Source organism: Homo sapiens, chromosome 16 (assembly GCF_000001405.40).
Source record: "Homo sapiens chromosome 16, GRCh38.p14 Primary Assembly".
NCBI lineage: Eukaryota > Metazoa > Chordata > Mammalia > Primates > Hominidae > Homo > Homo sapiens.
The window spans coordinates 8,725,127-8,736,438 of record NC_000016.10 but is presented as its reverse complement, the minus strand read 5'-3'; the positions used below and the strand labels follow the sequence as shown (position 1 = coordinate 8,736,438).

Sequence of the window (11,312 nt, the reverse complement as noted above, 5' to 3'; positions counted from 1 at the left end):
CCGCCTACCTGCAGGCAGAGTGGCTCCAGGGTGGATCCAATCCCATCAGACCGAGGCACTTGGGACAGGATCATATGACAGAGATGGGAGAGAGAAAGGAGGTGGCGATGGTGACAGTTTTATGGATAGTGGGTGATGTGGTTTGGCTGTGTCCTCATTCAAATCTCATCTTAAATCATAGCTCCCATAATTCCCACGTCATGGGAGGGACCCAGTGGGAGGTAATTGAATCATGGGGGTGGGTCTTTCCCATGCTGTTCTCATGATAGTCAATTGAGTAAGTCTCACACGATCTGATGTTTTTACAAACGGGAGTTCCCCTGCACATGCTCTCTTGCCTGTAGCCATGTAAGACGTGCCTTTGTTCCTCCTTCACCTTCCGCCATGATTGTGAGGCCTCCCCAGCCATATGAAACTGTGAGACCATTAAACCTCTTTTTCTTCATAAAATACCCAGTCTCAGGTGTACCTTTATTAGCAGCATGAGAACAGACTAATACAGTGGGACAGTCCCAGAAACACTCACTGGCTGGTCCCTTTATCCCCAAGGGCTCTTCCAGCCCAGGAATCCCTAGTCTGGATGGTATCTTCCATTAGTACCAGTTCTTATCAAGACCCCCGGGGCTTACCAGGCACCAGCAGGCGGTAGCTGTGCTGGAAGCTGCAGGCCAGGCGCTGGGCGAGCAACATGGAGGCCATGACCCCTTGAGGGACAGGGACACCCTTTGCGTGCTGCCACCCTGAAAGAAACCAGAAATGCAGACTTAGGCCCATGAAGACCACTCCCCTCTCAGCCAAAGATCCCATCCCCACCACTTCCCACCTAATAGAGAAAGTTCTTCTGACATTGTCAAATGCTTGGGTTTTATACTGAACATGGACTTTATATATTAGGCCAGGCAAGGTGGCTCACACCTGTCATCTCAGCCACACTGGGAGACCGAGGACTTCTTGAGGCCAGGAGTTCCAGACTAGTCTGGGCAGCATAGCAAGATCCCATCTTCACAAAGACTTTAAAAATTAGCTGGGTGTGGTGGTGCCTGCCTATAGTCCCAGCTACTCAGGAGGCTGATGTGGTAGGATCGCTTGAGCCCAGGAATTTGAGGCTGCAGTGAGCCATAATCGCGCCACTGCTCTCCAGCCTGGGTGACAAAGTGATACCCTGTCTCAAAAAAAACCAAACCAAAACAAAACAAAAAAAACCAACCCAAAACTATATTATACTGAATATATACTTCAATTCACATTTTTTTTTTTTTTTTTTTGAGATGGAGTCTCATTCTATCGCTCAGGCTGGAGTGCAGTGGCTCGATCTCGGTTCACTGCAACCTCAGCCTCCTGAGTAGCTGGGACTACAGGCATGTGCTACCATGCCCAGTGATTTTTTTTTTTAAGTAGAGATGGGGTTTCACTATGTTGGCTAGTTTGGTCTTGAACTTCTGACCTCAAGTAATCTGCCTGCCTTGGCCTCCCAAAGTGCTGGGATTACAGGTATGAACCACTGTGTCCAGCCCTGATTGCCATTCTTATTGGGAGCCTGGAGCAGCCCCTATCCCCCAGTTTGTTTCCTTTTATCATCTCTCCTTGCTCCCTGTTCCCTCTCCCCAGAACACCATTTAAATGTGTTTTGTGTGCCTCCTTCTGTCTGTACATCTTTCTGCTAAAAACCTGTTTTGTTAATTGGTATGTGTATTTTTTACATAAATGGTATTGTATCTCAGAACAAAATTTGTATCTCAGAACAGCGACAGCACCATTCATGAGTCATTCCTCTTCATGGACCCTGTTTCCCGAGTCCTTTCTGTGTGACGCATGCTGCACAAAACGCTTTACATACAGTATGATTAATATTTATTACTATTATTAACATGTACAACCATGCTCCATGGTCTTTTTACAGAGGAGGAAATTGAGGCACAGAGAGGTTAAGTGGTGGATCTGAAAGCCGAACTCACATGTGTGTGACCCCAGAGTCAGCAAACCTCACAGTCACGCAACACTTAGCCCAAACACTCCAACAAAATCCCTCTATTTATTTTGCAACAAGTACTCCATTGAGTGCTGACTTTGTACCAAGTACTGTTTCTCAGACTGGACATACAGGGATGAATGAGGCAGGCCTGGAGCTTACATCTTCATGAGGAACAAAGAGAATGAAATGAATCATAACATAAACAAGGGCATCATTATAATGGGGAGAAGTGCCTTGAAGGAAAAGTGAAAGGTGCTAGGAGCATGATTTATCAGGCTTCTTTCACGTGCCAGCAACAATGGGGCAGGCGTGATTATCCCCATTTTACAGATGAGGAAACTGAGGCTCCAGAAGTGAGGTATTTTAACCCATGTTCACTGTAGCATTATTCACAATAGCCAAGAGGTGGAAGCAACCTAGACGTCCATTGACAGATGAATGGGAAAAAATATGCTGTATCCACAGAGTGGAATATTATGCAGCCTTAAAAAAGGAGGAAATCCTGTTATATGCTGCAACATGGATGAGACTGGAAGACATTATGCTAAGTGAAATAAGCCAGTCACCAAAGGTCAGATACTGCATGATTCCTGTCATATGAAACCTAAAGTAGATTAAGATTCAGTTCCCTCTCCCTCTCCCTCTCCCTCTCTTTCCACGGTCTCCCTCTCATGCTGAGCCGAAGCTGGACTGTACTGCTGCCATCTCGGCTCACTGCAACCTCCCTGCCTGATTCTCCTGCCTCAGCCTGCCGAGTGCCTGCGATTGCAGCCTCACGCCGCCACGCCTGACTGGTTTTGGTGGAGACGGGGTTTCGCTGTGTTGGCCAGGCCGGTCTCCAGCCCCTAACCGCAAGTGATCCGCCAGCCTCGGCCTCCCGAGGTGCCGGGATTACAGACGGAGTCTCGTTCACTCAGTGCTCAATGGTGCCCAGGCTGGAGTGCAGCGGCGTGATCTCGGCTTGCTACAACCTCCACCTCCCAGCCGCCTGCCTTGGCCTCCCAAAGTGCCGAGATTGCAGCCTCTGCCCGGCCGCCACCCCGTCTGGGAAGTGAGGAGCGTCTCTGCCTGGCCGCCCATCGTCTGGGATGTGAGGAGCCCCTCGGCCTGGCTGCCCAGTCTGGAAAGTGAGGAGCGTCTCCGCCCGGCCGCCATCCCACCTAGGAAGTGAGGACCACCTCTTCCCGGCCGCCATCACATCTAGGAAGTGAGGAGCGTCTCTGCCCGGCCGCCCCGTCTGAGAAGTGAGGAGCCCCTCCACCCGGCAGCCGCCCCGTCTGGGAAGTGAGGAGCGTCTCCGCCTGGCAGCCACCCCGTCCGGGAGGGAGGTGGGGGGGGGTCAGCCCCCCGCCCGGCCAGCCGCCCCATCCGGGAGGGAGGTGGGGGGGTCAGCCCCCCGCCCGGCCAGCCGCCCCATCCGGGAGGGAGGTGGGGGGATCAGCCCCCTGCCAGGCCAGCCGCCCCGTCCGGGAGGGAGGTGGGGGCATCAGCCCCCCGCCCGGCCAGCCGCCCCGTCCGGGAGGGAGGTAGGGGGGTCAGCCCCCCGCCCGGCCAGCCGCCCCGTCCGGAGGTGAGGGGCGCCTCTGCCCGGCCTCCCCTACTGGGAAGTGAGGAGCCCCTCTGCCCGGCCAGCCGCCCCGTCCGGGAGGTGAGGGGCGCCTCTGCCCGGCCGCCCCTACTGGGAAGTGAGGAGCCCCTCTGCCCGGCCACCACCCCGTCTGGGAGGTGTGCCCGACAGCTCATTGAGAACGGGCCAGGATGACAATGGCGGTTTTGTGGAATAGAAAGGCGGGAAAGGTGGGGAAAAGATTGAGAAATCGGATGGTTGCCGTGTCTGTGTAGAAAGAAGTAGACATGGGAGACTTTTCATTTTGTTCTGTGCTAAGAAAACTTCTTCTGCCTTGGGATCCTGTTGATCTGTGACCTTACCCCCAACCCCGTGCTCTCTGAAACATGTGCTGTGTCCACTCAGGGTTAAATGGATTAAGGGCGGTGCAAGATGTGCTTTGTTAAACAGATGCTTGAAGGCAGCAGGCTCGTTAAGAGTCATCACCACTCCCTAATCTCAAGTACCCAGGGACACAAACACTGCGGAAGGCCGCAGGGTCCTCTGCCTAGGAAAACCAGAGACCTTTGTTCACTTGTTTATCTGCCGACCTTCCCTCCACTATTGTCCTATGACCCTGCCAAATCCCCCTCTGTGAGAAACACCCAAGAATTATCAATAAAAAATAAATAAATTAAAAAAACAAACAAACAAAAAAAAAAAACAAAAAAAACCTAAAGTAGTCAACCTCCTAGAAACAGATAGAGGGTCTGGGCATGGTGACTCATGCCTCTAATCCCAGCACTTTGGGAGGCCGAGATGGGTGGATCACTTGAGGTCAGGTGTTCAAGACCAGCCTGGCCAACATAGTGAAACCCCGTCTCTACCAAACATAAAAAATTACCCGGGCGTGGTTGTGAGCTCCTGTAATCCCAGCTACTTGGGAGGCTGAGGCAGGAGAATCACTTCAACTCGGGAGGCAGAGGTTACAGTGAGCTGAGATCGCACCACTGCACTCCAGCCTGGGCGACAGGGCGAGACTCTGTTTCAAGGAGGAAAAAAAGAGAAACAGAAAAAGAGGAAAAAGAGGTTGCCGAGGGCTGGGGGAAGGGAAAAAAGGACATTGTTTAGTGTGTTTGGAGTTTCAGTTTGCAGGATGAAGTAGTTCTGGAGCTTCACTATACAACAAAAGTGCTTATAATACCGTACTGTATACTTGAAAATGGTGAAGATGGTAAATTTTATGTTATCTGTGTGATTTTTAAAATAACAATTAAAAAAAAAAAAAGAAAAGTGATCCAGGAAAGACATTGGTGTTGAGGTTGACATACCTATCAAGGACAACTAGACAACTACCACGGCTTCCAGTGCTTTGACAAAACTCAGGTGTGTGGCCTTCTGGTCCAGAGTCTGCCATTTCACATTGTTGGAGCAGTCATTGTATCCCTGAGAGTTGCAGCTCTCTATAAGTTTGCTGTGGCTGAACCAAGAAACAAGGCATATGTAGAAGCGATGAGGATGGCTGTTATTGTTCAGAGTGCAAAGTGATTTTGGAATATAAAGAATTTCTTTGGGTTGAGTTACCTAGAAGTTTATCACTGACCTGTGTTCCTGAACTATGAAACATGAATATGGGGGCTAAGAAATAGTTTCTCTTTGGGCTGGCAGGGTGGCTCACTCCTGTAATCCCGGAATTTTGGGAGGCCAAGGCAGGTGGATCACTTGAGGTCAGGAGTTCGAGATCAGCATGGCCAACACAGTAAAACCCTGTCTCTACTAAAAATACAAAAATTAGCTGGGTGTGGTGGTGCACGCCTGTAATCCCAGCTACTCAGGAGTCTGAGGCACAAGAATCGCTTGAACCTGGGAGGCGGAGATGGCAGTGAGCCAAGATCACACCACCGCACTCCAGTCTGGGTGATAGAGTGAGACACCGTCTCACACACAAAAAATTAGAAATAGTTTCTCTTGATAAATAAACAATTAATGAGTACTTTGGACAGTAAACAAAGTAAAACTATTTTTTTTAAAAGAAGCCATGTGGTTTACCCAGGACACAGCAAGTTGCTGGTGGAGCCAGCGTTGGGGTTGAGAGATATCTGGCTCAGGAGTCCTGGCTTGTGCCTAATGCATGGATTTATTGCGAGTTGCAACACCTGAAACTTACTCTGTGACAGACCCTGGGGACGCAGCCCTTTCCTCATGCAGCCCTGGCTTGGGCTGCCTAACTCTACCCAGCCCCACAGTGGACAGAAATTCCATCCTAGACCTGGATGAAGACCAAGAGGCTTCTCCCACCCCCTGCTTCTGTGATGACAGCATATAGGAAGTGCCAACCAGAGGTGATAAATACAGACCTAGAGAGATCCCACAGCTGGAGGGGAGGCCTGTATCCAAGGAGAGAGAACAGGGCAAGGAGGAATGACAGGCGGGTTCAGAGTACAGGTTCAGGTGCTGGGAAACACGTGGGCTCAGCAGCACAGGGCAGGAATAGTGTGGAGAATCAGGCACCGAGCCCAGGATGGCGAGTTCCAGCACGCTGTGGCTGCCCACAGAGCTAATAGAATGTTGGCTGTATTATTAGAAGGAAAGAGTGAATGAAGGAGGGAGGCGGTTGCCATTGATGCATTTGTGCTACGAACATTCATGGTACACCTACCGTGTGCCAGACCCTTCACTGGGCACTAGGGCACATAAAGATCAATTAGAGGCCGTCCTTACCCTCTAAGCATCATCAAGTACTGGGCACTTGCTATGTGCAGGCTCTCAGCTGGTGCTGTAGAACCATCTCGTTTCATCCCCAGAGCCCTAGGAGGCAGCTCCTAGAAGACAGAGACAGGTCATTATCCTGTCTTCAGGCAACTGAGGTACTATCACGGGTGGGGTGGGGTTGGTGCAGGAAGTATCTTCTGGGGTGTCTGCTCTGCACTTCCTTCCTCCCCCTTCTCAGATACTTCCCCATTCCTCTGCGGGGGCATAGACCTGGCCCTACTGGCCATGGTTGACTAGACAGGGCTGGGCCAGAGTCCTGACACTCTCTACCCACTGAGATGATCCAGCATTCAAACAGGGTCTTTTTTTTTTTTTTTTTTAAGACAAAAAAGGGCTAGACAAAAGAAAGACTAGAGAGCAGTGGCGTGATCATTGCTCACTGCAGCCTTGAACTCCTGGGCTCAAGAGATCCTCCCACCTTAGCCCTGCCAAGTAGCTGGGACTACAGGCATGCACCACCATACCCAGCTAATTTTTAAATATATATATTTTTTAGAGACAGGGGTCTCGCTGTGTTGCCCAGGCTGGTCTCAAACTCCTGTGCTCAAATGATCCTCCCATCTTGGCTCCTGAAGTGCTGGGATTATAGGCATGAGGCATGGTGCCTGGTCTTTGTGAGACATTCTGAAGGGTACATTACTCCCTTCTCTTTGCTCAAACATCTATAGGAGTAGGGTAATCTCCCTGTTCAGAGATGATAAAAGGGAGGCTCAGAGAGGTTATGACATTCGGCCTCAGTCATAGGCTTACCTGAGACTGTCTGACCCCAAAGCCCCTGCCTCTATGCATTGTAACATCAGTTAATCCAGCTAATAACAAAACTCCTAGCTGTTTTTGTTTTTGTTGAGACAGGGTCTGGCTCTGTCACTCAGGCTGGAGAGCAGTGGTGTAATCTTAGCTTACTGCAACCTCTGCCTCCCCCAGGGTCAGGCCATCCTGCCACCTCCCAAGTACCTGGAACTACAGGCGAACGCCGCCACGCCCAGCTAATTTTTTTTTTTTTCAGTAGAGCCAGGTTTTTCTCACGTTGTGAAGGATGGTCTTGAACTCCTGAGCTCAAGTAATCTGCCTGCCTTGGCCTCCCAACGTGCTGAGATTACAGGCGTGAGCCACCGTGCCCGGCCCCTAGCTATTGTTGATATGAGGCTTCATGAATAAAAATGACGTAGTTCACAGAATAAATTTTATTGCTTTTCACCAGAGGAAACTTTCTGAGAAAGTGTGGGCTTGGAAAGTGTGGCCATGAATTAACTGAGAAACCAAACTCTTTGTTTTTGAGATGGAGTCTTGTTCTGTTGCCAGGCTGGAGTACAGTGGCGTGATCTCGGCTCACTGCAACCTCTGACTCCCTGGTTCAAGCGATTCTCCTGCCTCAGCCTCCCGAGTAGCTGGGATTATAGGCATGTGCCACCACACCTGGCTAATTTGTGTATTTTTAGTAGAAATGAGGTTTTACCATGTTGGCCAGAAGGTTCTCAATCTCCTGACCTTGTGATCCACCCGCCTCTGCCTCCCAAAGTGCTGGAATTACAGGTGTGAGCCACTGTGCATGGCCCAAACTCTTTTCTTAATAACTCAATGGATTTTTTTTTTCTATTCCAGGATATCCGACTCAATGCAAGCCTATTAATTTAGCAACAGAGTAACTGTGTAGAAAGTGCAGTTCATGTCTTTCCCTTAAAACCACTTGTCTGAAACAGGGAGCACTGAGGCGTCACACAATTCAATTTCCATTAAACACGTTTTTGAAACTCCGAATGTCTCAGAGAACTCAACATTTGAATATTCTGCAAAAGTGAGAGCCAATCCCACACGTTTTCAATTACAAAATGTCACATTGGAAAATATACCGTGGTGACATTTTGGTGGCCTGCAGTTGAAAATTGACCTTATAACAAAATCTGATCTCTGTTAGACATTAATTCTTAGCACAATATATTTCAAACAATTGGAAGAGTTAACGTCATTCATTCACTCCCTCTCATCCACTAATTCAATCAACACAAGTTAATTAGGCACCTGTTATCAGCAAGGCACTGCATCGTTTAGATATAATCAATCTCTCTCTCTCTCTCTCTCTGACAGGGTCTCACTCTGTCGCCCAGGCTGGAGTGCAGTGGGGCGATCAGGGCTCACTGCAGCCTCTATCGCCCGGGCTCTAGCAATCTTCCCATCTCAGCCGTCCAAGTAGCTGGGACTACAGGCATGTGCCATCATGCCTGGCTAATTTTTTTAAATTTTTAGTAGAGATGAGGTCTTGCTATTTTGCCCAGGCTGGTCTCAAACTCTTGAGCTCAAGTGATCCTACCATCTTGGACTCCCAAACGGTTGGGATTACAGGCATGAGCCACCGCTCCTGGCCAAGTCATCACTTCTCTTAGGAGAAACCAAGATGGATAAATTGCTTTCTTTCTGAAGCTCATAATTTAGTGGCAGAGAACTATGAGCGGAAAGAAAATGGAAGAATTTAATGTACTAGGCTGCTTTACCCATCATGTGAATACTTTCTTAAAATAACTCAGCATGATATGTACATAAAAATTTTCCAGTTCACTGTCAACAACAAATTCTGCATAAGATAGAACAGAATCACAACTATTTTGCTGGTGTGAGTGAAGTGCTAAGGGAATACGGGGAGATTCTTTCTGGCTGGGGTGACAATGTCAGGGAGGTGTTGCCTGAGCTGCATCTTCAAAAGTTAGGCGATTTCAGAAGGCAATGAAGAAAGCAGGGATAAGGCAAGTGCTCGGAGGTGTATGATGACACGGAGTAGCTAAGGATCCTGGTGCACAGTGAGAGTGGGTGTGGTAAGAAATCATAGAGCACTTGGAGGGAAGGTGAAGGTGCGGTCATCTGGAGCCAACTCGAGCAACAATTTCTAGGCTGATCTTGATTGATAGGGCCCTCTGGAGACCCTCTCAAAGGGAGGAGGGAGCCCAGCTGCTCTAGTTGCATCCAGAAGGGTCTGTCCTCCAGCAAAGGATACAACCAACAAAGCGAAGAGGCAACCCACAGAACAAGAGAAAATATTTACAAACTACTCCTCTCACAAGGGATTAATAACCAGAATATAAAAAGGAGGTCAAACAACTCTATAGAAAAAAATCTCATAATTCGATCAAAAAATGGACAAAAGATTTGAATAGATATTTCTCAAAAGAAGACATACAAATGGCAAGCAAGCACATGAAAAGGTGCTTGACATCACTGATCATCAGAGAAGGCAAATCAAAACTACAAAGAGCTGTCATCTCACCCCAGTTAACATGGCTTATATCCAAAAGACAGGCAATAACAAATGCTGGAGAGGATGTGGAGCAAAGGGAACCCTTGTACATTGTTAGTGGGAATGTAAACTAGTACAACCACTATGGAGAACAGTTGGAGGTTCCTCAAAAAACTAAAAATTGAGCTACCATATGATCCAGGAATCCCACTGCTGGGTAAATACACAAAAGGAAGGAACTCAGTATATCGAAGAGATATCTGCACTCCTATGTTTGTTGCAGCATTGCTTACAATAGCTAAGATTTGGAAGCAACCTGAGTGTCCAATAACAGATGAATGGATAAAGAAAATGTGGTTCATACACGCAATGGAGTACTATTCAGCGCAGTGGCTCACACCTGTAATCCCAGCACTTTGGGAGGCTGAGGCAGGTGGATCCCATGAGGCCAGCCTGGCGAACATGGCTAAACCCCATCTCTACAAAAAACAAAAATCATCTGGGTGTGGTGACCCATGCCTGTAGTCCCAGTTACTAGGGAGGCTGAGGCAGGAGAATCGCTTGAACCCGGGAGGCAGAGGTTGCAGTGAGCCGAGATGGCGCCACTGCACTCCAGCCTGGGCAACAGATCGAGACTCCATCTCAAAAAAAAAAAAAAAAGATCTAGTCATTTGCAACAACGTGGATGGAACTGGAGATCATCATGTTAAGTGAAATAAGCCAGGCACACAAAGACAAGTGGCATGTGTTCTCACTTATTTGTGGGATCTAAAAATCAAATCAATTGAAGTCACGGGCATAGAGAGTAGAAGGATGGTTACCAGAGGCTGGGAAGGGTAGTGGCGGGTTGAATGGGAGGTGGATAGTTAATGGGTACAAAAAAAATTAGAAAGAATAGAAGGGTCTGTGTTTAGGCAGGCTCCCAGGGAGGGGCAGGGAGCATGCACTCAGCATGTCAATGAGATGCTGGGGTCACTGAGCTGGGGAGGGGGTTCTCGAGGCAGGTGTGTTGGAGGGCACCCACTGGGGTGGGAGTTGATGAGGAGTAAGAAGGCAGGGATTAGCTCTTAAACCCTCAGTCCTAGAGTTGGCATGGCCTTTTAAGAATTACAAGTTCCTCAAAAAGTTAAGCATAGAATTACTACTACATGACCCAGCAATTCCACCCCTAAGTACTAGGTTGGTGCAAAAGGAAATGACCTTTGCATCAACCCAAAGAACTGAAAACAGAGACTCAAACAAATACACATAGCAGCACTATTCACAAGCGCCGAAAGGTAGAAAAAGCCCAGATGTCGATCAGTGGATGAATGAATAAACAAAACATGGTCTATCCTTACAACGAAATATTATTCAGTCATAAAAAGGAATGAAGTTCTGACACATGCTACAACATGGATAAATCTCAAAATATTTTTTATGCTATATGAATGAATGCAGAGGTAAAATGCCCCATAGTCTACGAATCCATTTATAGGAACCTTCAAGAGTAGGTGAATCTACAAAGACAGAAAATAAATCAGGGGTTGGCAGGGGCCTGGGAGGAATGAGAGATGACTGCTTAATGGGTACGGGGGTCTCCGGGGTGATGAAAAAAATCTGGAATTAGATAGCGGTGGTGGCTGCACAGCATTGTGGATGTTCTAAAAGGGTCTGAGTTTTCACTTAAAAAGGTTAATGTTATGTTTATCTTAATAAAAATGAAAAAGCCAGGCGCGCTGGCTCACGCCTATAATCGTAGCACTTTGGGAGGCCGAGACGGGTAGATCACCTGAGGTCAGGAATTCGAGACCAGC

At 48.3% G+C, this 11,312-nt stretch overlaps 1 protein-coding gene across 24 annotated transcripts in view, besides 2 other annotated features; it reads right to left on the bottom strand.

The window, feature by feature from the left end:
- The window catches only part of ABAT (4-aminobutyrate aminotransferase), a 109,954-nt gene that overhangs the window by 48,132 nt on the left and 50,510 nt on the right, over positions 1 to 11,312 (bottom strand). For 19 of the 24 annotated variants that reach the window (XM_047433688.1, NM_001386615.1, NM_020686.6 and 16 more), the window contains one exon: positions 630 to 740. The exons of 3 other annotated variants lie outside the window; for them this stretch is intronic. In XM_047433688.1, coding sequence (XP_047289644.1) covers positions 630 to 699 — 70 coding nt within the window. In that variant the 5' untranslated portion in view covers positions 700 to 740. Of the gene's footprint in view, positions 1 to 629; positions 741 to 6,239; positions 6,341 to 11,312 lie in introns of all 24 variants that reach the window. 2 more of the 24 variants (NM_001386602.1, NM_001386601.1) reach the window with 1 other exon arrangement.
- Positions 3,800 to 4,385: an enhancer, noted in NCBI's record as "NANOG-H3K27ac hESC enhancer chr16:8825911-8826496 (GRCh37/hg19 assembly coordinates)". NCBI's record gives its function as "activates a minimal SCP1, AML or CMV promoter by ChIP-STARR-seq in naive H9 embryonic stem cells {active_cell/tissue: H9 hESC(naive)}" and the evidence as "EXISTENCE:reporter gene assay evidence [ECO:0000049][PMID:30033119]".
- Positions 9,046 to 9,274: a silencer, noted in NCBI's record as "fragment chr16:8821022-8821250 (GRCh37/hg19 assembly coordinates)". NCBI's record gives its function as "represses an EF-1alpha promoter that drives an FKBP-Casp9 reporter gene in an ReSE screen in HepG2 liver carcinoma cells {active_cell/tissue: HepG2}" and the evidence as "EXISTENCE:reporter gene assay evidence [ECO:0000049][PMID:32094911]".